The 27,944-nt window shown below is 41.8% G+C and overlaps 5 annotated features.

The window, feature by feature from the left end:
* Positions 2,187-2,369: a silencer, noted in NCBI's record as "fragment chr6:11838380-11838562 (GRCh37/hg19 assembly coordinates)". NCBI's record gives its function as "represses an EF-1alpha promoter that drives an FKBP-Casp9 reporter gene in an ReSE screen in phorbol 12-myristate 13-acetate-treated (for megakaryocytic differentiation) K562 erythroleukemia cells {active_cell/tissue: K562(+PMA)}" and the evidence as "EXISTENCE:reporter gene assay evidence [ECO:0000049][PMID:32094911]".
* Positions 5,895-6,194: an enhancer, noted in NCBI's record as "active region_23994". NCBI's record gives its function as "activates an Ori minimal core promoter by ATAC-STARR-seq in GM12878 lymphoblastoid cells {active_cell/tissue: GM12878}" and the evidence as "EXISTENCE:reporter gene assay evidence [ECO:0000049][PMID:35858748]".
* Positions 6,417-6,607: a silencer, noted in NCBI's record as "fragment chr6:11834142-11834332 (GRCh37/hg19 assembly coordinates)". NCBI's record gives its function as "represses an EF-1alpha promoter that drives an FKBP-Casp9 reporter gene in an ReSE screen in K562 erythroleukemia cells {active_cell/tissue: K562}" and the evidence as "EXISTENCE:reporter gene assay evidence [ECO:0000049][PMID:32094911]".
* Positions 6,417-6,684: a biological region, named in NCBI's record as "ReSE screen-validated silencer GRCh37_chr6:11834142-11834332".
* Positions 6,455-6,684: a silencer, noted in NCBI's record as "silent region_16918". NCBI's record gives its function as "represses an Ori minimal core promoter by ATAC-STARR-seq in GM12878 lymphoblastoid cells {active_cell/tissue: GM12878}" and the evidence as "EXISTENCE:reporter gene assay evidence [ECO:0000049][PMID:35858748]".

The raw sequence follows: 27,944 nt of genomic DNA, 5'->3' as shown, positions 1-27,944 counted from the left end.
GGTGATATCCCCTTTATCATTTTTTATTGTGTCTATTTGATTCTTCTCTCTTTTCTTCTAGTCTGGCTAGCTGTCTATTTATTTTGTTAATTTTTTCAAAAAAACAGCTCCTGGATTCATTAATTTTTGAAGGGTTTTTCATGTCTCTATCTCCTTCACTTCTGCTCTGATCTTAGTTATTTCTTGTCTTCTGAAACTTTTGAATTTGTTTGCCTAGTTCTTTTAATTGTGATGTTAGAGTGTTGATTTTAGATCTTTCCCACTTTCTCCCGTGGGCACTTAGTGCTATAAATTTCCCTCTAAACTCTGCTTTAGCTGTGTCCCAGAGATTCTGGTATGTTGTGTCTTTGTTCTCATTGATTTCAAAGGACTTATTTATTTCTGCCTTAATTTCGTTATTTACCCAGTAGTCATTCAGGAGCAGGTTGTTCAATTTCCATGTAGTTGTGTGGTTTTAGTGAGTTTCTTAATCCTGAGTTCTAATTTGATTGCACTGTGGTCTGAGAGACTGTTTTTATAATTTCCATTCTTTTGCATTTGCTGAGGAGTGTTTTACTTCCAATTATGTGGTCAGTCTTAAAATAAGTGTGATGTGGTGCTGAGAAAAATGTATATTCTGTTGATTTGGGGTGGAGAGTTCTGTAGATGCCTATTAGGTCCGCTTAGTCCAGAGCTGAGTTCAAGTCCTGAATGTCCTTTTTAATTTTCTGTCTCGTTGATCTGCCTAATATTGACAGTGGGGTGTTAAAGTCTCCCACTATTATTGTGTGGGAGTCTAAGTCTCTTTGTAGGTCTCGAAGAACTTGGTTTATGAATCTGGGTGCTCCTGTATTGGATGCCTATATATTTAGGATAGTTACCTCTTCTTGTTGCATTGATTCCTTTTCCATTATGTAATGCTTTTCTTTGTCTTTTTGAACTTTGTTGGTTTAAAGTCTCTTTTATCAGAGACTAGGATTGCAACCCATGCTTTTTTTTTTTTTTTTTTTTGCTTTCCATTTGCTTGGTAAATATTCCTCTATCCCTTTATTTTGAGCCTGTATATGTCTTTGCATGTGAAATGTGTCTCCTGAATACAGCACACCAACAGGTCTTGACTCTTTATCCAATTTGCCAGTCTGTGTCTTTTAATTGGGGCATTTAAGCCATTTATATTTAAGGATAATATTGTTATGTGTGAATTTGATCCTGTCATTATGAGGCTAGCTGGTTATTTTGCCCATTAGTTAATGCAGTTTCTTCATAGTGTTGATGGTCTTTACAATTTGTCATGTTTTGGCAGTGGCTAGTACCGGTTTTTCCTTTCCATATTTAGTGCTTCCTTCAGGAGCTCTTGTAAGGCAGGCCTGGTGGTGACAAAATCTCTCAACATTTGCTTGTCTGTAAAGGACTTTATTTCTCCTTTGCTTATGAAGCTTAGTTTGGCTGGATATGAAATTGTGGATTGACAATTCTTTTCTTTAAGAATGTTGAATATTGGCCCCCAATCTCTTCTGGCTTGTAGGATTTCTACAGAGAAATCTGCTGTTAGTCTGATGGGCTTCCTTTTGTGGGTAACCTGACCTTTCTCTCTGGCTGCCCTTAACATTTTTTCCTTCATTTCAACCCTGGTGAATCTGAAGATTATGTGTCTTGGGGTTGTTCTTCTCAAGGAGTATCTTTGTGGTGTTCTCTGTATTTCCTGAATTTGAATGTTGGCCTGTCTTGCTAGATTGGGGAAGTTCTCCTGGATAATATCCTGAAGAGTGTTTTCCAACTTGGTTGCATTCTCCCCATCACTTTCAGGTACACTAGGCAAACGTAGATTTGGTCTTTTCACATATTTCCATATTTCTTGGAGGCTTTGTTCATTCCTTTTCATTCTTTTTTCTCTAATATTGTCTTCATGCTTTATTTCATTAAGTTGATCTTCAATCTCTTATATCTTTTTTTCTGCTTGATCGATTTGGCTATTGATACTTGTGTATGCTTCACAAAGTTCTCATGCTATGTTTTTCAGCTCCATCAGGTCAGGTATGTTCCTCTCTAAACTGGCTATTCTAGTTAGCAATTTGTATAACCTTTTCTCAAGGTTCTTAGCTTCCTTGCATTGGGTTAGAACATGCTCCTTTAGCTTGGAGGAGTTGGTTATTATCCACCTTCTGAAGCCTACTTCTGTCAATTCATCAAACTCACTCTCCGTCCAGTTTTGTTCCCTTGCTGGCGAGGAGTTGTGATCCTTTGGAGGAGAAGAGGCATTCTGGTTTTTGGAATTTTCAGCCTTTTTGCGCTAGTTTCACCCCATCTTTGTGGATTTATCTACCTTTGGTCTTTGATGCTGGTGACATTCGGATGGGGTCTCTGAGTGGACGTCCTTTTTGTTCATGTTGATACTATTCCTTTCTGTTTGTTAGTTTTCCTTCTAACAGTCAGAGCCCTCTGCTGCAGGTCCGCTTGAGTGTGCTGGAGGTCCACTCCAGACCCTGTTTGCCTGGAAATCACTGGCAGAGGCTGCAGAACAGCAAAGACTGCTGCCTGTTCCTTCCTGTAGAAGCTTCATCCCAGGGGGCACCTGCCAGATGCCAGCCCAAGCTCTCCTGTATGAGGTGTCTGTCAACCCCTGCTGGGAGGTGTCTACCAGTCAGGAGGCACAGGGGTCAGGGACCCACTTGAGGAGGCAGTCTGTCCCTTAGCAGAGCTTGAGCACTGTGCTGGGAGATCTGCTGCTCTATTCAGAGCTGGCAGGCAGAAACATTTAAGTCTGCTGAAGCTGCGCCCACAGCTGCCCCTCCCACCAGGTGCTCTGTCCCAGGGAGATGGGAGTTTTATCTATATGTCCCTGATTGGGGCTGCTGCCTTTCTTTCAGAGATGCCCTGCCCAGAGAGGAGGAATCTAGAGGGGCAGTCTGGCTACAGTGACTTTGGCTTTGCCAAGCTGTGGTGTGCTCCACCCTGTTCGAACATCCCAGCAGCTTTGTTCACACTGTGAGAGGAAAACTGCCTACTCAACCCTCAGTAATGGCGGACACCCCTCCCCCACCAAGCTCGAGCATCCCAGGTCAACTTCAGACTGCTGTGCTGGCAGCAAGAATTTCAAGCCAGTGGATCTTAACTTTCTGGGCTCCATGAGCGTGGGATCTGCTGAGCTAGACCACTTGGCTCCCTGGTTTCAGCCCCCTTTCCAGGGGAGTGAACAGTTCTGTCTTGCTGGTGTTGCAGGGACCACTGAGGTATGAAAAAAATTCATGCAGCTAGCTCAGTGTCCACCCAAACAGCTGCCCAGTTTTGTGCTTGAAACGCAGGACCCTGGTGGTGCAGGCACCCAGGGGAATCTCCTGATCTGTGGGTTATGAAGACCATGGGAAAAGCATAGTATCTGGGCTCAAATGCACCATTCCTCACAGCACAGGCCCTCATGGTTTCCCCTGGCTAGGGGAGGGAGTTCCCCAACCCCTTGCACTTCCTGGGTGAGGTAACACCCCACCCCCCTTTGGCTTGCCCTCCATGGGCTGCACCCACTGTCTAACAAGTCCCAATGAGATGAACCAGGTACCTCAGTTGGAAATGCAGAAATCACCTGCCTTCTGTATTAATCTTGCTGGGAGCTTCAGACCAGAGCTGTTCCTATTTGACCATTTTGCCCAGGTCCCCTCAGCTGTGCAGGTTTTGATGCCACCACTTAGGAGACTGATGTCTTCCAGCTTCCAATATTCCAATATGGCTGGTTCAGTTAAGAAGAAACTGATGGGGGACCAGGCACAGTGCCTTGCGCCTGTAATTCCAGCACTTTGGGAGGCCGAGGTGAGTGGATCACTTGAGGTCAGGAGTTTGAGACCAGCCTGACCAACATGGTGCAACCCCATCTGTACTAAAAATACAAAAAATTAGCCTGGCGTGGTGGAGAGAGCCTGTAGTCCCAGCTACTTGGGAGGCTGAGGCTGGAGAATCACTTGAACCTGGGAGGCAGGGGTTGCAGTGAGCTGAAATTGTGCCACTGCACTCCAGCCTGGGTGACATAGTGAGACTCCATCAAAAAACAAACAAACAAACAAAAAAAAAAACTGATGGGGAAAAGAGAGAAAGTGTTGAATAGAGAGTGGAATAACCTAGACTGAGCCTCAGTCCTGCCTTAACCAGCTATATTTCTCTGGAGAATTCACTCAACTTTTCTGAGCTTCACCTTCCTCCAGAAGAGGAGAATTTGGTGGTCTTTATCAATTTAAAAATGTATATCAACATGCTTTCTAAGGCCTATATTAACCCTTTCAAGCTGAGGGATTATATTCTAAATCTAAGGTCCAAAAATCCAGTTTTGCTTGGTTCTGTCCAAAGGATGTCTCATTGCCTATCTATTTTTCAGTGAAACAATTTCTTTATCACTGACCATGGCTGCTCCTGTAACTTTCTTGAAAATCTGATGCAAGGATCCTGGTCAGATGAATGATAAACATGTGTTCTGTGTTGTCACCCACAGGCAATGAAGAATGGGCTGATAACCAACCTGAGATGCTCAATAGACATCTTATTGTATCAGGATCAGAATCCTTAGATCCATTGCACATGGCAAATTTAATGAACCTCGCCAAGGGGGTAATGTGAAAACATTAAAGGAAATAATAATTCTAAATCAGATAAGTATACTTTGTCATGCAAACTTTCCTTGTTATCAAGCTTTAAAAAACATAACCCCAATAGGGCCAAATTACAATGACAACTTCTCTCAGGCATATAATTATAAAAAATTAAAGGCACTTAAGAGGTCATTTAATCCAAACCCTACACTTCAGAGACGAGGAAATTGAGGCTCAGATGGGATAAACTATCTGGCCAAGAACTCACAGTTGCTTGGAGACAGACTAAGACCAGAATTCTGATTTTCTGATTCCAAGGCTCATGGGCTCTCTGTTTCACCTTGCTATCTACCCTAGATTTTAGCTGTGTTCTTTAAGCTGTACATTTCCAGAATGACCCTTGCCACTCTTGGGGTCTGTTCTGGTTCCTCACCTACAACCAAGATTACCACCACAGCTTCACTGACTTTGTGAGTGCCTCTCTTGCTTGGAGGGCCTCTGTTCCTAGCCTCTGGAAATCCCATCTCCTTTGATCTCTGTTTTCTTCATGGCCTAGCATTGTCCCTGCATCCAACCAAATGCAATCTGGGTTTGACACAAAGGAGGATTGTTGAAGAACCAGTTAGGAGACTTGTTTCCTCACCACACATTATTTTTGTGTTTTCATGCATCTCTCGGGATTTGAATGTCATTGCTGTGGAACAAATGCTACAGCCATCAGGGAAGCCACCAAGGCCAGAGACAGACCTCAGTGCCAATTGGATAACGCCTTTAGTGGAATTGGGGTCTGAGCCAAACCCTTTCATGTTTCCTGCTCTTAAAAGGGCATGCTGAAAGACAGGAGGGAAAGGTGGCCAGTCTAGCAACCCCAGGCTTCAGGACTGGCTTTCTCCTCTTGCCAGTGAGCAGTCAAACTACAAGAAGAAAAAAATTCATGCTGCCCCACCCCTTTTTTTAATGTCCAAAGAACATCAATTTTAATTTAAATGATTTCTGGAAAATGAATTGTCATTTTTTCTGAGAGAAAGGAAACACGGTCATGTTTGCATTCTCTTAAGAAGATGCAACAGCAAATACTTTTGGTACATACATTACAGGAAAAAAGTCAATAAAAAACAAGAAGAGCAAGATAAATGGATGATCATATTGATCTAAATAGAACAAAGACAGTTCCAAACCCATAATCTCTAAAAATCATTACACACACACAAGCATGCACCTATCTTTAGGAGTTTTTACCAATCGATAAGCAAAAACATGTATTAAATACCTATGTGTATATAAAAGGCACTGAGCTAGCAGCTTTTTTCTGATACCTGAATTCCAAAATTCAAGGGGTCTTATTACTAGCTAAAGGTAGTACTACCTAAGCAAGAAAAGAAAGAAGGCAGTATTGTATCCCATGCATACTCTGATACAATGTTCTTCAAGACCAGGTCACCCACCTGTTGGTTATTTTAAGAAGGGGAATTCTGGCGGCAGCTGGGACTCTGCCATAAATAACTTAGACGTCAACGTTCTAACACTGAAACCTTCTTGTCACATCTTTCTAAATGAATTTTGGAGGTATCTCAGGCAACTGGTCTGTCCAGAGCCATAGAAAACGGCAGAATCATGCTTATGTTCATGACCATTTTCTTTTTATCTGCCCTCTCCACCTGCAAGCTGGCTGTGGGCTTCGAAGAACTTTCCTTAGTGCGAAGGGCTGAAGAACAGCAACAGCACACAATCATCATTGTTACTATCTCAGGCTATTGACATCAACTCAGTCAAATAATTAAACCCACTCATATTTCAAAAGCTTCTAGTAACTATCATGGCCATTAATTTTAACCTCAAAATTCCACTCTCGGCATTTGAAGTTCTGCCAGAGTTCCTGATTACTTTGAATATTTGTCTCCTCCAAATCTCGTGTTGAAATTTGATCCCTTGTTGGAGGTGGGGCCTGGTGAGAGGTGTTTGGGTCACGGGGGCGGATCCCTCATGAATGGCTTGGTATCCACTTGTGGTAATGCAGGAGTTTTTGCTCTATTTGCTTACCTGAGAGTTGGTTGTTTGAAAGGGCCTGGTACCTCTCCCCTCTCTCTCTTGCTCCCTTCCTCTTGCTAAGTGATGCCTGCTCTCCTTCATCTTCTGTTGTGAATGGAAGCTCCCTGCAGCCCTCACCAGAAGCAGATGTTGCCACCTTGCTTTTTGTACAGCCTGCAGAACTGTGAGCCAACTAAGCCTCTTTTCTTTATAAATGACCCATTCCTCAGGTGTTCCTTTATAGCAAATGCACTGAGATAACGCCCAACCTCCCTGTGACTATGCTTCTGACCCACTGCAGCTTCACTGGCTCCTTCCTCACTCTGATTCTTCACCTGATTCACTGCTTCCTATTCTAATGGCTTTCCTGTTACCAAGAAGAGCTCAGTATCCACCTGTCTCCCCAAAGGCCTCCCTCTCATGCGAACTGAAAAAATCTTGGCTGGGCGCAGTGGCTCATGCCTGTAATCCCAGTACTTTGGGAGGCTGAGGCAGGCAGATCATGAGGTCAAGAGATTGAGACCATCCTGGCCGACATGGTGAAACCCTGTCTCTACCAAAAATACAAAAATTAGACAGGTGTGGTGGCACACACCTACAGTCCCAGCTACTCGGGAGGCTGAGGCAGGAGAATCGCTTGAACCTGGGAGGCAGAGGTTGCAGTGAGTCAAGATTGTGCCACTGCACTCCAGCCTGGTGACAGAGCAAGACTCCGTCTCAAAAAAAAAAAAAAAAACTTGACCTAAGAAGTGTACTATACATCCATGTGACACATATGTCTATGTGTGCAAGTGTTTTCTACATCATGGTCATTTGTAGGGAGGCTCACCTGCCCAGAGGTAAATAAAATTCAAGTTATTCAAAACCATGACATTAATGAATTCAACCTTAAAACTAGCATTAAAAATAACAACAAACACTCATGTTCAAGTGGGAACTTGAGCCACTGTCTTAATGTTTCTTCCAAAACTCAGCAAAAACAGGTTCTTTAAAGTTGATTTGAATATCTTTTGTTTATTTTGTTTATCGCTTGATTGGGACTAGAACATTTTTGTTGCTGTGCCCTTTTTTTCTCAGTATGTGTCAATGCACAACAATTCAGTTGGCTTTGACTGGCACTGGCATTTTCTCCCAATATGGGCATTTGCAAATAGGAAGAACAAACCGCATACATGTATATGTACATACCTTTACATATAAGCTCAAGCACAACTAAAACCCTACTTTTGTGAATGAGATTTAATCACTATATATCACATCTTAAATAAGAATTGTATAATCTTTAAAACATCCTAGTACTGAGTCTCATACTTAGAAGGTATTCAATAAATGTTTGCTGTAGCAACCACAGAAGATTTAGCTCACAAAAAGTCTAAGTGATTATCAATATAGCAGACCTTAGTGGGAACCCTTACTTATTATTTGATTTCCAAATATGAAATACATTCAACATCACCTTTGTTTTCTTCCATGGATTTCAAGAAGGTCTTAAGGGCTTTGGAGTTTCAGAGCCCCCCTTTTCTTAAATTGCTTTTCTTCTATGCTGTATATTAACCTATGGTTTTAAAAGATACTAAGCATATCCAAATAATCATCTGATTTTATAAGAAGAGAGTTGTGTTCATGGAAGTGTTTTTCCTACTACCAGTGAAAAGGAAGAATTTTCTGATAATTGTCTGGCTATCTGAGGGTCAGTGGAACAGATTAACTGACATCGACATCTCACATGTCCTCAACAGGAATACTTCTGAGCTGGTGTCCTTCACCCTTTCTAGGAACAAACAACTAATTTTCAAAGCTAGCTTTAAGTAATATTGATACGGAAGTGCTGGGAAGAGAAGAGTGTGGTCGCTATAAATGACAGGGAAGTGGGGGAAGAGAAGTGCTGGGTAGAGGAAGGGCGTGGCCCCTGGCTAGGGCTCCACCCCCACAGACCTAGGTGAGGACAGGCACTTCTGCCTTCGCGCCCAAATGTTGCATTTTCCAAGACCACACTGACCTGCCACGCCCCCATCCTGGGCCTATAAACACCCGAGACCCTAGCAAGACAGAGACAGAAGCAGCTGGAGGTCCAAAAGAGCACATCGCGGCGGAGGAACGCACTGGCCCCAGCTCTGGCGTGCCGATAGGCCACTGACCAGCAGAACGACGTGGAGTTTGCCGGGGCAGTCTGAGGAGAGCCAGGGCCGGTGGCGGACTCCAGGGGAAAACCATCTCCCTTCTGGCTCCCCCATCTGCTGAGAACTCCCCGATAAAACCTGTGCACTCACTCCATTCTTCAAGCCCACGTGTGATCCGATTCTTCCAGTCCACTAAGGCTAGAAACCTCAGGATACAGAAATTCCTCTGTCCTTGCGACAAGGTAGAGGGTCTAATTGACCTAACACAAGCTGCCTGTGGACGGCAAACTAAAAGAGCACCCTGCAACATACTCCCACTGGGGCTTCAGGAGCTGTAAACATTCACCCCTAGACACAGGCCGTGGGGTCGGAGCCCCACAGCCTGCCCGTCTGTGTGGTCCCCTAGAGATTTGAGCAGCGGGGCGCTGAAGACGCCAGCCACTCCCCTGTCGTATACCCTGCTAGTCGGACAAGGGAATCTTTCCTGTTTCAGTATTTAACAATGATAGTCATTCTTTGGGCAGAAGTTTTGATGCTGCTTTGCTTCAACTAGTTTAAGTAGATCTATTCCTTGGTTATCTAAAGAACCTGGTACTCCTCTCTCTTGCTCTCTTCCTCTTGCTGTGTGATGCCTACTCTCCTTCGCCTTCTGTGAGTGGAAGCTCCCGGCAGCCCTCACCAGAAGCAGATGCTGGTGCCATGCTCCTTGTACAGCCTGCGGAACTGTGAGCCAAATAAGCCTCTTTTCTTTATAAATAAGCCTCTTCCTTTATAAAGATCAAGATTCATGAAGCAATAAGAGTAATTTATGTTAGTTTAGTTTGAACATTTATGACGCAGCCAACTAAGAATCTCATGAAAATATATATCATGGAACTGAGCACCATGTTCCTGGTCTTGTTCTTCCTAATGTTTCTTCCAGACACAGACACATATGTTGTTGGGTTTCTGCAGGAGTCACTTGCAGAAGAGGAGAGCTCCCAAGGAGGGACTGAGCATCAAAGGTGGGTAAAATGTAACTACCACTGCCAGATCGGCTGCATGCATTTAACAGCTCCTAGTAGCGCTGTGAGAGTCATGTAGGCACTGCAAATCCAAAGAAGGCTCTGGGGACTCTGACCACATCCCTCTGTGACATTCTGCCACATGTAGGCGCTGGGTAGGCAGGCACATCTCCAGTCAAGGACCTCCATGAAGAAGAGGTCCTTGTTCCTTGCATCTTCCAGGACAAGAGATCTCTAGTGGGACCAGAGCAAAAGGATGCTCAATTCCATATAATTAAAAAGTCAATTGAATGAAATATCTGGATCACTAACTCACACTCCTATACCATGGATTCTACTGGATGATACAAGGACAGTGTGTTGTCTGTCTTGTCCAGAACGGTATTCCTAGCAGGCAGTCCAATGCCTGCTGCAGAGTAGGCATTCAGGAAATAGATTTCAACTGAGCAAATTGCATGAGCTGTTGGGGTAGGGGTAAAGAAACTGCGGTATCTTGTTTCCACAACTGCTGACGTTGGTTCACAGCTGTCAGGTGCTTCAGCTCCAAGGTCAGCCCTGAAGGGCAGCTGGTAAAGGCAGTAGCATTCACCCAGCCTTAGGCCTAATCTTTAATTATTCCCTTTAAGCCTGTTGCTGAATGGAGCTCCTGAAAGCACTTCTGCAGACATCAGTGGTGTTAGAATTGCCCAGTGCTTTCTGCTAAGGCTAGCGTTTCTTGGCTAACACTGTACTTGGTGTAACTTGGCTTGGATGCATGGTTGATCCCTAATGTGATAACATGGTTAAATGGTGGCTCACGTTTTCTTTTCACCTTAACAAGACTGAGGACTCTTGGGAGTTTACTATTCTGTAAGTTTGCTAAAGTTCGTTGATTTTTCTTCTCTCTTCCTGACCACATTAATTTGGAATAGAAGATATTTGCTTATTCACAACACTCAAGTCAGACTAAATATTCACTTTTGAGTGTGTATGTGAGTTTACTATCAGTCAAAATTCTTAAAAAATGAAAAAAAGTCAAAATGTGCCCTTACCGTAAGTATGTAGACAAATAATTTATTAGAGAAATACCATGGAAAATCTATCTAGTAGTTAAACCAGAGAATAAAAATCAGAAAATTATTTACTTCATTTGCACATACTAAAGTAGCTGGTTATCTTTGACAAATCAGTTAACCTCTCTGCAACTTGGATTTGTTACAGAGGTGATCAACAGTTTAATCACTCTGAGTTAGTAGACTGAGAATACCTTCTGCCCACCTGAGGGCTTTCCTTTGAAGAGATGCCATTGTTTTATATCCCAACTTATCGGGTTTCTATGTTTGATTGGTGGGAAGACAGTGCGTTGCACAATGCCTGGTCCATAACAGATGCTCAAGGAATATTTGTTGACTCAATTAACGAATGATTGAGGTGCTCAATATGCCTGAGAAATTTTCCTTTATTCTAGACAGGGTTTCGGAGTTTGTTCTATTCAAGCAAACAAGCTTGCTCTGAATTCTGTGGGTAGGAAAAAATGTCAGCCCGACAGCTTTTTCTCCCCCCCTCCTCCGTGAATGAGAAAAACAAAACAAAACAAAACATTTGAAGTAGTATAAAGAGGCAAATATAGACACCAAACACTATTAAATACAATTCAATTGTTCTTAATTGAGCTCAATCAAATTGTTTCTCACTTTGAAAGCTGGAGTATACGTCTTCCTTGCTTGGCAGGCACTTTTAACACTTCAGAAGAAATTACTGGATTGACAGAAAGAAGCTCAGAGAAACGCATATGGAAATTAAATAATTGAACACCATCATATCCAATTGATTTAAAGAAACTAAGTTCCTATTCTTTCTCCTGCTAGGCTAATTTACTATTCCAATTGACTGCAATGTGGCATTCAGCAAATATCAAATAGCTGCATGTGTCAGGGGCTTCCTTGTCCTCCACATTGACCTTGGATTAACCCTTCACCTCTTACTCCACAGCTAATTAAATCCTGTGGCAGTTCGGTGAGACATTCTTCGCTGAAATATTTAGTGAGGGTCTTAAATTCCTTCATACTTGTCGCAACCACTATGTCTACCTCCCACAGTACATCTGCTTTAGTGTCACAATATTTTGTCAAAAAACTGCAGGACTGCCATGGTAACATCATAAACCCGTCTCTCGCCCAATTCTTCAAGCAGTTTATAAGAATCCAGCTGTAAAAATTGGCCATAGGCTGCATGAACTGGTTGTTTTATGTGTGGTAGTTAACCTCTTTTCCCTTTTTTCTTCACCACTCCCACTCCAAAACCACTCATTTAAAAATATTTACAAAGTCATTTAACATTTATTTAGCCGTCAAATAGGAAATTGGAGTTGAGCTCAAGTTGACTTTTCTTACTATTATACTGCTTTCTGAGGTCAAAATTGTCACCTTTTTTTTTTCTCTTTGCCATCTGGGTGAGTTCAGCTGAAATCAGAAGTTCATTTTTATCCCTCTTTCATTTCCTCTTTTGTGGAAGTCTTCACTTCTCTAAGTGCCTTTTAAATTCAGTGGTAGCCCCATATACAGAAAACATACATAGGTATTTGTGGGAAAAGGGACAGAGATGGGAGGGACAAATCATTCTAGCACAGGAATCACCTTCATTTTCCTGGATCACATTTAACTGCACTTGAAATAGGTGAAACTGTTCCTTTTACCTTTTTCTTCAAAGAAAAGTCACATAAGGTATCTGTATCCCCATCATTCTTACTGGTTAGAGGTTTTCCCTTTGCACTGATTTGGGCACATATCTGGAAATCCCATTTGTCCCTATCCTAAGGCTTTAGATAAGGTGGGGCGAGGTTCCCTCACACATACTGGGTGAAGCTAACACAAGGGAACTCTGTCACCTAAGGAGAGGGAGATTTCTAAGTTTTGTGGAGTTTTTTTTTTTGGTTTTTGTTTTACCTTCTTTTACTTTTTATTTTTTTATAGAGATGGGGTCTTGCTGTGTTGCCCGGACTGGTCTTGAATTCCTAGACTCAAGTGATCTTCCTGCCTTGGCCTCCCAAAAAGCTGGGATGACAGGCATGAGCCACGGATCCTGGCCCGTTTTGTTCTTAAGTAAAATTAAACTTGTTAGACAAAAAGAAAGAAACAAAAAATCCAAGAAATCAACCAATATCTCCTGGAACTATTTTGAGTTAGAGCCATGGAAAGAATATAAATACATCAGCGCGGACGAGGCTTCAAGATGCCCGACAAGAGGCGCCCAGCACTGGCCTCCTCCACAAAGAACCAAAACCGCGAGTAGAAAAACGCACGTTGAATAGAGCCTGTCGGAGACCACACTAGAATTCAGCAGGAAAGTGACAAGGGACCCTGGGGGCAGGGAAGGAGAGGGCAGCAAAGCAGCCAGGCAGCCAGGATTGGCTGGGGGAGAAGGTAAGTGAGAGGCCCCAGTGGTCCACACAAGCACAGCGGACTCCTACATTCCTAGGCGCAGAAGAGCCCCTTGGCCTTTGGGGGCTCTGAGACTAGTACAGACAGCCATCTGCAGTAGGCATTGTTCCAAAGATGGGTTCACACTGGGTCCTACACACCCCTGGGACCCAAGCAGTGGCAGTGCAGTGGCATTTGGGGAGCCCATCCCCCGCCAGATTACACCCTGCCTTGGGGCCTAACCACCCCCGCACCCCACATGCCTGGAGTACCACTGACATACCCCATATCCACCCGGGGGTGCTACAGAACTACCACAGGATCCTGCAATCCCACCACTGGGTATTTATCGAAAGGAAAGGAAATCAGTACATCAAAGGGATACCTACACCTTGTTTCTTTCTTTCTTTTGTTAGACGGGTCTCACTGTGTCGCCCAGGCTGGCGTTCAGTGGTGCGATCACAGCTCACTGCAGCCTTGAACTCCTGGGCTCAAGTGATCCTCCCTTGTCAGCCTCCTGAGTAGCTGGGGCCACAGAGGCATGTCACTACAACTGGCTATTTTTTTTGTTTTTTGTAGAGATGGAATCTGTCTACGTTGCCCTGGCTGATCTCAAGCATTATCATTATCTATGTTGCTCTGGTCCTGGCCTCAAGCAATCCTCCTGCCTCAGCCCCCAAAGTGCTGGGATTACAGGTATGAGCCTGGCAGAATTTGGATATTTACTAAAGCGCTATTCACAATAGCCAAGATACAGAATCAACCTAAGTGTCCACAGACAGATGAGTGGATAAAGAAAATGTGGTAAATATACACAATGGAGTACCATTCAGCCACAAAAAAAGAATGAAATCCTGTCATTTGCAGCAACATGGGTAGAACCAGAGGTCATTATGTTAAGTGAAATAAACCCGGCACAGAAAGACAAATATCCAATATTCTCACTCACATGTGGGAGCTCTAGAAGTTGATCTCATGGAGGTAGAAATTAGAATGATAGTTACCAGAGGCTGGCAAGGGTGTGTTTTAGGGGGATGAAGAGAGTTTGGTTAATAGATTAAAAATGTATATATATATATATATATATATATTTAGATAAAAGAATAAGTTTCAGTGTTCCATAGCATAATAGGGTGGCTGTAGTTAACAATAATTTATTGTAGATTTCAAAATAGCTAGAAGAGAAGATTTGAAATTGTTACCAACACAAATAAATGATAATGTTTGAGGTGATGGAAATCTTAAATACTGTGATTTGATCGTTACACATTGTATACGTATATAAAAAAGTCACATGTACCCCCCCAAATAGGTACAAATATCATGCATTATTTAAAAATTATGTAAGTCCAGTTATGTTCATTTATATAACATTTAAGAGGTTAGATGTCCTTGAGCACAATTTAGTTGGAGGGTTTGATACAATAATCACTTAGGCTAATTTACCTCAGGACGAACATGGAATGCATATAATTAAATAGTTCCTGGTGAAAGAAGCTTGAATGGCCAGAATTGCATATCTAAATAAAAAATGGAGTTAGGCTGCCTTGGGACAAACATGGGCAGGGTCTGTTCTGAGGTTGGCCAGCTAGCTAAGGCTTATGTCCAAGACGCACAGGAGGGATTCTGATTGTAATGAACAGGGCTGGTCCAGGCACAATCATGACATTGATGAGGTTGAGGAGCTTGTATCTGGGACCCTCCCATCCTCCATTTTCCCCGCCTCTCCACTCACTAGCACTATACTTGATTCCCGGTGTAGCCACTTAACACACCCATTCTTTATGAATGATTGAATTTTACCCCTTTCATTTTTTTTTGAAAAATTTGTATAAATTTAAGAGGTACAAGTGTAGCTTTGTTCCATGGATATATTGTAGTGAAGTCTGAGTTTTTAGTGTCACCATCACTTGAGTGAGGTATACTATATCCATTAAGCAATTTCTCATCCCTCACTCCCCCTCCATCCTCACACCCTTCCCGGATTTTCATTTCTAATTGGTAATGGTAATGCACCATCTCAGGATCTGTATAATTACATCTAACATCAAGAGAGTTATAATATCTTGAAACTGTTCACCATAGCCTAGCAAATGAAATAACTTAGCTCAGACTACAAAAATTCCCCATTGGCAGTGTGTGGCAGCAGCATCAGAGTCCTTAGTCATACAATGACAGAGCCACAGAATAGTTGCAATGGAGATTGCAGTCAACTTTAAAAAACTGTTTTCACGTACTCTGCAGCTTGGAATTTCCCCTCTTGCCCCACCACCTTCATGTCAAGAACAGCTACACATGTGGGTCAGCTCTGTAAAGGGCCACACAAATTCATCTGCGATTAGTCTGGAAATTCCCTCCTACGAATGTATTGGTACGATGGAATAACAGGTGATTTTATGGGGTAAATATGTTTCAATACAACAATCATTCTGAATAGGAAAAAAAAAACCCTCTGTTTTTCTCAATGTCTGTTATATTCCAGACAGGGGAAAATGCATAGAAAGGTCAAGACAACATTTCTAGTCTCCACATAAAAAACAAGAGTTTTCTACGTAGGCTGAAGCCATCTGGATGGATGTGAACACCTAGAAAGAGAGTGGAATGGAAGAAGTTAAGGTTAAAATCTTGAAAAACTTCAATTTGATTTAATTGTCAGAAAGTGAAAGATAATTTTGAAAAAGGGTCTCCTTTTCCAGAGGAATAAGAGACAAATTGGGAACATGTCAGGGTTGCAGAAATCCAGAGAAAAGAGGTTTCAAGAAAGTAAGTGTGGATAGTACTCTCGAATTACCCTGTAAGGTCAAGTAAAACAAGCAAAGGAAAAAAGTAAGTAGCATGTTGTGAACCGAATTGTTTCCCATAAAATTCATACACTGAAGCCCTAACTCCCGATGTGACTGTATTTGGAGATGGGGCTTTTTTTGTTTTGTTTTTTTTTTTTGAGACGGAGTCTCGCTCTGTTGCCAGGCTGGAGTGTAGTGGCATGATCTCCGCCCACTGCAACTTCCACCTCCCGGGTTCAAGCAATTCCCCTGCCTCAGCCTCCCGAGTAGCTGGGACTACAGGCTTGCGCCACCAAGCCTGGCTAATGTTTATATTTTTAGTAGAGACGGGGTTTCACCATGTTGGCCAGGCTGGTCTCAAACTCCTGACCTCATGACCCACCTGCCTTGGCCTCCCAAGGTGCTGGAAATCAGGACACACACAGACAGAGGGAACACCATGTAAAGACACAAACCAAGAACAGAGGTCTCAGAAGAAACCAACCCTGCTGACACCTTGATCTGGGACTTCCAGCCTGCAGAACTGCGAGACAGTACATTTCTGTTGTTCAACCCCCCCCAATCTCTGGTGCTTTGTTATGGCAGCCCAAGCTAATGCATATAAACAACAAGGAGCCCATAGATGACCTACGATAAAGTTGTTTTGGGGAAGGATGAAGGTAGAAAACTGGATTAGAGCATGCTGAGGACTAACTGAAGGTAAGTAAATAAATGGAGTCAGGCTGTATAGACAATTCTTTCAAGAAATTTGAATGTAAAGAGAGAGTGATAAACCGGGAGAAATGGGGTTTTAAGATTCTAAGGATTAAACTTGAAAAATAGCAAATAATGAATAAGATCATCTATGCAAAAATTACCATAAAAAGGTAAAATATTTCTCAGATTAAAGAGCAGAATTACAATTCAATCATCATGCCAGTAATAAAAATAACAACAAATCAGTAATAGTATCATTTATTGAACAACTAATATAAGCCAACTTGTGAGCTTCATGCTTTATGTATTTTAACTAATTCTCTTTACAGCATAATGCCTGGAGCCTAGTAGGTATTCAATACATATTTACCGAACAAATAATGAATGACCGTACAACATAGATATTATTATTGTTCCCAAGTTATATACAGGGAAATTAAGATTCCTGTAGTTTAAGTAACTTATTCCAGGTTTATATGGCTCCAAAGTGATGATACATCTAAAGTAAAGATGTGTCAAAAGGAAAATGCCCTTAGTGAAAGTTAAAAGAGATTACAAAGGGTAAAGCTAAGAAGACTTTCATATTGCCATCCAGGACAAAGGGTACCGGGTCAGCAACACCATTGACCTTGGAGAGTCAAACCGTCTCCTGGGAAAAGGTACAGAAAGCTTTAATCTAGTGATTAGGATTATTCTAACACTAATTCCCCCCTAGGAGCCAGGGGCCAGATTGTAGATCCTGTAGGCCCCTGTAAGAACTCAGCAAGATGATAAATGACTAGTTTTCTTCCCCTACCCTGTGCTAATTTGGACTCTCTAAGAGGGAGACACGCAGATTTAGAGGGGAAAGAGATTTGGGAGAAAGGCAGGGAGAAAGGCAGAGGAGGCTGAGGGCCATTAGAACTCAGAGGTGAGACAAGATGGAAGGAGGGAAGGGTGGTTGGGAACAAGTGTCTTAGACTGCAGTGTGGTTCTAAGAAAGTACAGTTGACCCTCCATATCCACGGATTATGCATGTGCAGATTCAACCGACCACGGATTGAATATTTGGAAAAAAATACAAATATAAAACAATACAGTGAAACAACTATTTACATAGCATTTACATTGTATTAGGTATTTTAAGTAATCTAGAGATTATTTAAGGTATACAGGATGATGTACAGGATGAGGTTATATGCAAATACTATGCCATTGTAGAGAAGAGATTTGAGTATCCTTGGATTCTCAAAGGGCAGTCCTTGGACCATGATTCCCATCACAGGAAGTCCTTGTCTTTCAGGAAAGAGCCTGCCTTATGTCCCTGCCACACTTAGCCATTGGCCAGGGGCAGCCCAGGGGAAGCGTAGCCTTGGGCTTTGGGATGTGGGCTGCCTACCGTCGCACATCCTTGGCAGAATGTGGTCGTGTATTTCAAAGTGCAATCGTGGAGCTCTGGGTCAATTATGCCACCTACAGCCAAGAACTGCAAGTCCCATTATCACAGCCACCTCATATCCAGTGTTCATTTTTAGCTTCCTACTCAATAAAATTATTTTATATAAATGAGTGAATGGAAATAAAAGTACTAAGGAAATCTTAAAAAAAATGGTCCTTTTCAGTTTCTAGTTAACTAAGTAAATATTTGTAATACTACTCAGTTAAATAAGTCAACCAACAGCAACACACTATCAGGCAACTTAGAATTGGTACGAGATGAATCTTTGAAATAAATGTTTAAAATATTATCAGTGTCTCATAAAATGTCAATTTTATATCTTCTAATAGACAAGACAAGACAAAAAAAAAGGCAAAGAAAACACTCTTCTCCTTCCCTATGATCTCTTTAGTTACTAGCCTTGGATCAGCCCAGACCCCAGCTTGCCATCTCTTCTTTCATGCTCTAGCCTTCTTCCCATACTAGCTCCTGTCAAAGTTGCTCCTTGGATTCCCACTTAGCATTTATCTCAAAAGGTCAAGCACAAAGCCGCTTGCTCTCCATGTATTTGATGCAACAACCATGTGCTGAGAACTTGCTTTCTGCAGGATGGGGATTTGATGAGCCGATGATTGATGATTTTCTAAAGGAAATAAGCAAAGGAGAACAACTGGCCTGCTTTTCTCAAGGCTGTGTGCGAAGAATGTTGCCATATAATGTGCTCATTTGTAAAAGCAGTAAACTGAGTCACAGAATAAAGAATGATTTTATTTTTACACTTCCTTGAGAATCGATACCAAAGACAGAAATGTCACATAAAATTTTCAAATCCTGCACCATACTGGAACAACTACCTTGAGATTGCACTACCTTTACAAGCTGAGCACATCAATGCCTGAGAATCATTCATTGTGTGTCTGAGAGAATAAATAACTGTACTTTTGCAACTGAATATTGATTCTTCAGCATTCTGTCATGTTAGACACACCATTTCAGTTGAATAAAGCAATTTTTTTTTTCAGTATTGCAAGGAGAAAAAATAATAGCTGTAGGACAGAATTTCATGCCTCCTAATATATCGGTTGCATAAATGGGAGTTTCAGTTTTAAATTTACCAGTAACCATGTCTCTCTTACTTTTGTTACTCTCCCCAGTAATATCCATGCATTTAGGATTTAAAGTGGGGGAGAAGGAGAATCACAGATCAAGGGAAAACTGAGTTTTTCTTTTCCAGGCTGAAGGAAACCAGAAATTAATAATTATATAATGGATTTTGTAATTGTCCTTTTTCTCATAAGGACTGACACCTCAGCCGCCTTGTCCATGGGGCAGTAGACCAGTTTACCAACATCTTCTGTTTGTAAGACAAAACAAAAACTCTGTAGAACCTCATTCACCTTACTTAAAGTATTCATTTACTGGGAGCTTTATATTAATATATTCCATGCTAGGAAGTTGAGCAATTCAAGGGGTAACAGAACTTTTTCAGGCTTCAAAAAGACGACTTCCCATTTTGGAGCTTCAAGATCATAGCTGTGGAAAGGTCCCAAAGAAAAGTCACCTGCTCTTCTGTTCAATAGAGAAACAGTGCAGTCCTTAGAGGCAACAGGAGAATGGCCGCTCTATGAAACTACTACACGTGTGTATATATATATATGAATACAAAAATATCTGTTGATTTTATTTCATATAATAAACTACTCTATTTTTATGTGTGGTCTTTGATCAAAAATTCCAGTTCCCATCCTTGTTTAGTTTGGCTGCACTCACTGGAATTCTATGGCAGAATCCTGTACAGATGAAAATTCATATAATCTTTATCCTAGTTTACAGAGACTTCAGAAAGTGAGATTACTGAATATCTGTTTCAGAAAGTTCTTTCCCTATTTTTTTCTTTGCAGGAGTTCTTCCTCAATAATTTTATCTTTTTGTTCATTTGCTTTAAAAACTATGTATACGCGAGGATTTTGATTAAGTAGTTTCTCTACCAACTTTCCAGGCTGCAATAATTGTCGTTGTCTTACACTTTGTTCAAAGATCTTATATGCAAAATGTAAATATCTGAAAGGCTTTCCTTTTACTTATTTATGAAATAAATTCGTTGAGTCTGTGTTGGTCAAGGCCCACACTGGTGCCGTGGAGAATGCTTGCAGTGGACATATACGTGGAGCTGCGCAGGGCATTCCTCTGTGCTTGTTTCAGCTTGGCTCTGGCTCTCTTCCCTTAGGTTTGCTTAATCATCACGCTGTTAGCAAAGTAGACAAAGAAGTAATGGCAGAAGGGCTACCTCTGTCTCTTTCTTTGCTCTTTTTTTTGGGGGATGGGGGCAGGTGGGAAGCAGGGAAACTTTTCCCGGAAGTCCTCCAGAGTTTTCTTGTATTTTATCATTGACCAGGATTTTGTTCTAATACCATTGCAAAAACAATCACAAATAAAAAGATGGGATTACAATGTTTGGTTTAGACTAACAGATTTAGATGGAGTAGATGTTAGGAAATCAACCACAGTAGCTACAATAGGCATGCAAAGAAATCATAAAGTGCAAGATAGAAAGTGATAAACTGTAAAAAAAGACACAACTAAAGTGCTTTGGGTATTAAACCTGGAGAAATTATTTCCAACTAAGGATTAAGAAATAACTGACTTGTGAATTGAAGCCTGGATTTAGGCACAAAAAGATGAAAAAGGGTACTTGAATTTGCCAATCAAGAAATGATAATAAGAAAAAATGAGGCATCTATCAGGATACAAATCACATTAGGCTGAAATAAAATGTATAGGAAGATGTATCAGTTAGCTCTTGCTGTGATAACAAATAACTCCCACATCTCAGAGGCTTGTAACCACATCCATTTATATCTTGCTCTCAGATCTACTTCTTGTCTGCAGCTCTGCCTGACCCTGTTCCAAGTGTCTTTTCACTCCTGGACCCAGGCTGAAGGAACAGCCCCTATCTGCCATATACTTCTCTTGTGGCAGACAGTAGAAACCAAACCTATGGCGAAGTTTCTAGGGGCGCAGTGATCGGAGGTATTCCCTGTGAGATGAAGCCAAATTTGTGATATCTTGCACCTTCTACCACCAAGAAAGAGGCATAACAGCTGGTGAGTTTTTGAGCTCTGGAGGCAGTGGATGTCATAGTTAGGTGTGCTGTTCTCGTCTATGTTCCAAGTTATCTTTGACCCACACAATTTTGCAAAGAGTTAAGAACAAGAGAAAGATCTGCAGCCTGGGCATGGTGACTCATGCCTGTAATCCCAGCACACTGGGATGCTGAGGAAGGCAGATCACTTGGGGTCAGGGGTTTGAGACCAGCCTGGCCAACATGGTGATACCCCATCTCTACTAAAAATACAAAAATTAGCCGGGCATGTTGTCACTCACCTGCAATCCCAGCTACTCGGGAAGCTGAGGGAGAATTGCTTTAACCCAGGGGGTGGAGGTTGCCCTGAAACTAGATCATGCCACTGCACTCCAGCCTAGATGACAGAGCAAGACTCCATAAAAAAAAAAAAAAGAAAGAAAGAAATCTGCAGAGCAGATCCAAGCTAGTACTTAAGCTGCTCTACAACTTGAGAACTTAGGTCTACCAGATCAGATGGTGGATGGCGTGTCTGAGATGGCCTCTGGAGTCTCCAGAAGCCTCAAAAGGAGAAGCACTATGCAGGCCTTTAGACTTTGGAGAGCTATGCCCTCTTCTGCCATTAACTCTTCTCACTGGGAGAAACAGCCTATGTCTCCCCAGACTTAGAGCTCATCTTTGTATGGGCGGTTCCTAGAGAGATGCCCAGAGAGTTATAGGTGTTCAGCTAATGGTGGTTAGATGTATGAGCCTATGGAGTGAGTGGCAGAGAGGCTTCTGCTTGGCTTTGAGAGGCTTTGATCCAGGCTTCTTTATCTGTATGTTCGTGCTGGTTACAGGCAGTCCCATGGCCCACAGTCCACCACTGCAAACAAAGGAAAGACTTTCTAGGAATGATCATCGCACAGGTCATGCCTTTTCAGTCATTAAGCCTCTTCCACAGGTAGCAGGAAGCTGGGAGGGTGTGGCTGTGACCAAGGAAGAACCTGGCAGATCGAATTTAAATCCAAGATGCCGGCCCTTGGATCGGCCTGACCCAAATTCACTGTGGCTCTGTTATTCTGACTAATTTTCCCTGGAGTGTAGGCTAATCTGTGAAAAGAGAAAACATACACTTGCCTATCATGGGAAACAGGTGTTTGCACTGTGAATCGCTCCACACCATCACACCGAGGCACGTTCTCAAAAGGGGGCGGATGTGATGTTTTTTGACATCTGATAATGTTGAGGATATGACCAGACTTGCTCCCTTTCAGCTGAGAAACAATCCCCTCTCCTCTGTGGCAAGTAGGAGGATGACAGCCAACTTTCATCTTCCCTGACAAGATAACTCAGACATTTTCCTCAGGGAAAGGCGATTGATCATTGGGTTCGGCTGGAGAATAATGTGGAGTGAATGAAAGCACTCACAGAACTCCGTTCTTTATAGCTGCCTCCTTTGAAAACATGCGAGAACTCACAGAATAGTCTTCATTAGATGAGGAGCCCACTTGGGATTTTTACTTCTAAAGGCTCTTGAGTACTAAGGGCTGTGACAAGAGGCCATTTCTGCTCCACAATGTAGACCAAAAAAGCTCTCCTCAGCCCCCCAAATACCGCCCCTACCCTAACTACTCTGGTCAACATGGATCTCTCTCCTCTGTGAACTCCTCAAAGCTCTTTTTGCCTGAAACTTACTGCAGAACATTCATTATAGATATCATATGAGATCATGTGCTGTCTTCTTATATTTCATGTCATTTCTGGTAGATTTAAAACTTCTCAAGCACAGGGGACCTATCACATACTTTTTTAGTCATCTCTATGGGGCCCAGCGCAAAGCAGAGTATGTAAATGGTGCTCAATAAGTAATCTGATTGATACAGTCACAAGCACAAGGAGTAAAAAGAATGTGTGAGACATTAATCATATTATGTCAATTTCCTTTTAGGCAACTTCATAAAAAGCCATTACCAATTTACAATTGAGCATAATAATAATAATTATTATTATTATTTGTAACCTAGATAACAAGCAATGCTCCAAGGCCCATGACATGAACACTTTCCTGCCAAGCTGAAGCTGGTCCCTTTGCTTGGGGTTTTTAACAATAGGATGGAAACATCATCACCTTCTTAAACCTAACGAAAGTACATCTACACAAGAACTTCTGTGTACTGTTCTGTTATCATACCTTAAAATGATAACTGAGAGTTTAGAGACCTGCAGGAAGCATTTCAAAGAGTCAAGTGATTGGATGAATTATTTTGGGGCCATTAATTGACATATTAAAATTCCTTACTTAGACTACTGCAAGGCTGGTAAGAGATTAAAAAATTATAAAATCATGAAGATAAAAATAGAGTGACCACAGAATTACCAAAGAAGTACTATAATTCTACCACCTAAAGACACTCAGTGGCCGGGCGCGGTGGCTCACGCCTGTATTCCCAGCACTTTTGGGAGGCCGAGGCGGGTGGGTCACCTGAGGTCGGGAGTTTGAGACCAGCATGACCAACATGGAGAAACCCCGTCTTTACTAAAAATACAAAAAAATTAGCTGTGCATGGTGGCACATGCCTGCAATCCCAGCTACTCGGGAGGCTGAGGCAGGAGAATCGCTTGAACCCGGGAGGCAGAGGTTGCGGTGAGCAGAGGTCATGCCATTGCAGTCCAGCCTGGGCAACAAGAGTGAAACTCCGTCTCAAAAAAAAAAAAAAAAAAAAAGACACTTGGCAAACAATAGGCTTGGAGACCCCCTTATTTAATGGTCAAATGACTAAATATATAAACAGATCTTGAAAGGATTGGAATCAATTAATGGTGCATAGAGCCATAGTATATTATTAAGGAAATCAGGAATACTTGGAGTGCTTGTATGAAGGGCGTATTACCATACTTCTCAGACACATCATACTGAGGGAATAAGGGTATTGGACTTCTTTATTATTATATGTCTTCAATTCTTATCCTCAGTCTGAAATTATTTTCTCTTTTTTTTCTGAATTCTTACAGAATTTTATCTGTGCCAACAATATAATCTGTATATTTTCTTCATTGTATTAGCAATACATGTCATGTATTCTACTAGATTTAGAGGTCTTTGATGACAGAAATAATGATAAGTATGATGATGATAATAATAAGAGCCAATATTTATTATACTCTTACTGTGTGCCATACTTTTTGGAATTTATTGATTCAGTCTCATTTAATCACATTGCATTGATCTTTGCATGTCTTTTAGGTCTACTCACACTTGGAATAAAATTATCTGTGAAATCAACAAATGGTAAGCAAGCTCGATGGTTTGTTTTCCCATCAGGTAACCTGGAAACACGGGCAGATCTGATTGAAATGCAGATTCCTCACTGGTTTTTTCCTCCCTTTATAATTTTTCAGAAGCCTCTTTTACCAGGCAGGGAGGGGCAAATCTTCTGAGGGCATATTTCCCTCCCAGGCCCTAGTGCATTGGTATCTACCTAGTAGGTTCGTAGCAAATGCCTCTTGACTTATATACTCCACAGCACTAATTGTGAAAAGGAGGTAGCATTGTCATTAGCACAAATGATAATAGCTTGGGGACACAGTTGCAGGTTATATACAGTGAGATGCTACCATTGCAGATTTACAATGAAATCAATATACAGTGTCCCATGAAGATAATGAGGTAGAAAATGCATATATAATTCACATGTTCCAAATAAGCTCTGTAATGAGTTTGAGAGGTCCCTGCGTATTTCTAATTTGTCTACATCTGTTGAAGGTGGGTGGGTTCTAAAATGTGGGCTTGAAATCTCTGAACACCATGAAAATAGTAAAAAAGAAACTGTGAGTGTTATTCCAAAGCTCTAAAAGGCTTAAAAATAAATCCTAAACATCCTCAAGAAACTCCCACTCTTAGGGAAATTATTAACTTGTGAGTAATGTGAAGACATTCTCAGCAGATTCCCAGTCACATATCCTGCCATCTACATTGTTTACTCTTTAGAGTGAGCCCTTCTTATATTTCTCATGGACTTCCAAATACATAGAATGGCCCAAATAGAAAGAACTGCTCTTCCTGCTCCTTTTTTTATACCAGCCCTCATCCCTCCCAGCTCCAGCTTGGCATTTTCCTGGGAGTGCAGTCTTCTGAGGGAACTTGCCTTGGGCCAATGGAGGCTGGGAGGAAAGAGACGAAAAGGATAGAGGTAAGAGAACCATGCCAACCAGTCTTTGAGCTCCTCATTACCGTGAGAAATTCTAAAATGACCTGGCTTTGTAGCCATCTACAGAATTTCCTTTAAAGAGAAAGTTGGACCTTGTAGAGTTTCCTCCTTTTCTGATTAGGAGGGGACTCTTAGATCCTGGCTCTGAGAGTTTGCGAAAGTTTCTTTTCAGCGGTGGGTGGTAAGTCAAGATGGCTGAATTCCCGAGCTTTCTGGTTATATGTGAAAGTTCTCAGCCTCTACCCAAGCCTTTTTCTCTGCCAAGTGGTGCGATAAAACTTGTGAGAACAGGTTTTCCTTGTGAGGTAGCTGATGCATCTGCATCCATTTCTGGCAGAAAACCAAAGCAAAAAGGGATTTAGAGAAACATTACAGAACATCATAGGGGCTTCATATGCATTTGCTTCAGAAGTTTCATGATTATTCAAGGGAATGTGTTTTTTGTTTGACCTTTACCCTAGCCATCTCTCATAGCTCTCACACTAACTCTAACCCTGCATAACCATCCAAGACCCAGGGAAGCCACTTTCATTTGGATGAATTATAAGCTTTTTGCCAATTCAACATGATCAGCGTGTGGCCCAGTTGGTCTTTTTCAACAATGAGCTTCCACAATAATAGGGCCTTCGGTCTCAAAGGCCTTTTCCATGAGTTATCACTTTTAATCTTAGGAGAGAATCACTCCATCTGTCTCTAAAATTCATTCATTCCAACATCTCAGTTAAAGCAAATTTTTCTATATTCCATCCTTTGTCTTTAATAAGAAACAGAATCGAAAGAGAAATAGGTATCCTTGGCTTTCCTTCAGAACTGAAGAGGGAACACAGCTAGCTCTTGCACTCTCCAGGGGCCTCTCAACCAGCCTCTGATGGCAGCACCATAATCAGTTTAACCTTTGCTCACCCTTCCACTCCCCAAGACAGCAGCCATGGAGACTGTCAGTCACCGAGAAGCTGGGCTCCCCCACCTTCCTCTTCTCAGTTCTGCTGGGAAAAGCCCATAGGATACCAGCTGCCCAATACATGCTTGGTGGACAATCCAAGCAAGCACTTATTTCCCCTTAGAAAGCTTCAAGATCACCAACCAATGTAGAGTTATAAAGTGCTTTACTGATTATCTCATTGAACTCTTAATACTGTGAGGCAAATGTCTTTGTCATTTTGTAGAGAAAAAAAATCAGAATTTTAGTGAGATTAAGTAACTTGTACAAAGTCAAGTTACTTGGATTGAACCCATGTCTTTTGGCTCATTTACAATTGGAGTACATTTACAATATCCTTGCTATTCAAAGTGTGCTCAATGGATCGTCAGCATTACCTGTGATCCTTGGGCGCTCCTCAGACCTACTGAATCTGCATTTTAATCAGATCCCAAGTGATTTGTGTGCACACTAAAGTGTGAGAAATACTGTTGTACAGTGTAACTATCTCCAGCCAGAGGGAAGTTCAGTTGAGGCCCCAAACGCAGAGTGACCTAATAATGAGATGGATGTGTCCCTGGTGGGAACATCAAGGCAAGCTCTAATTTTGTATTATTCATCTGCAGTTAGTTTCAAGATTTAAATCTCCCCAACTCTTCCAAGTTGAGTGAAACAAAATCTCAATCTCTATGGCAGACGGATATCTGGGTATCTGTCCAATATTTCCTGAGGGGGAACGGGGCATTGTTTTCGTGTTAATCTTTTTGAAGCTCCCTAATAAACACAGGCTCATCACTTCTGTTAATTCGGGAGTCCTGGCTGATGTGTCTTTTAAGAAAGCCCATTTAGCTTGAATACTCTTGGAGATATTCAAAGATAAGACATATTGATTTTTTGCTTGAACAAAAGCTGCTTTTGATTCTCAAGATAATTGGTAGTTGTAGGGGATATGGAAGGGCTGGAGAGGAGACAGCTGTAAAGTCCCCAAGGGGAACAGGAAAGAAAGCTGCCTCCGACTTCATTCTGCTGTTCTTTGCACATCCTCTACTAGTGAGGGCTGCATAGGCCATTCAGTGCCTGTCTTTAAGATGTCATTATTTAGATAAAAATATGTCTGGATTCTTTTCACCTTCTGTCTTTCCCAACTTTCCATAGCAGTTGTCAGGAAACCAAATGGCACAATTTCAAACACTGGGAAAGTCCAGTTATCCAGAATGCACCCACACCCTGCCACTCCATGCCAAGAAGTCCATTAAGATCATGTTTCTGCTCAAGGAATACTCACTGATACTCTGGAAAACTCAGGCGGTTAAGAGCCACAGGTCCTATTGCACATAGGTGACACTTTTGTGAAAAAATTTTGGCCCCCCAAGCTTAAGCTGTTTAACTTGGGCATTGGAACTCTGAAATCCAGACTCTTCATGACAAAATAACTCTGAGGGGGAGCTGTTTCTTCCTCCTATTGGGAGTGCCCTGGACCTAAGTGAAATGTGGCCCAGTGCACAGGTGTGATTCTTCTCTTCTGTTCTGGGTACCACACGTGGGACTCACAAGCATGATTCAGCCCACTTGGATAACTCTGTTAATAGAAGTATGTGATTATTTTTCACATCATCTTTCTTATATAGTAGATGTTTAATTTGATTGGTTGTACATAAGTATGTATTACTTCACCTTTTTCTGTTCTTGAACAAAAATAGTACCTCTAACCACAGTCTTTCTAGAATCTAGTCCAACTTGGCCTCTTTAAGAATCTA

This window comes from Homo sapiens, chromosome 6 (assembly GCF_000001405.40).
Source record: "Homo sapiens chromosome 6, GRCh38.p14 Primary Assembly".
In the NCBI taxonomy this organism is placed as follows: Eukaryota; Metazoa; Chordata; class Mammalia; order Primates; family Hominidae; genus Homo; species Homo sapiens.
The sequence above is the reverse complement of the archived record's forward strand: the minus strand, read 5'-3'. Positions and strand labels throughout refer to the sequence as shown.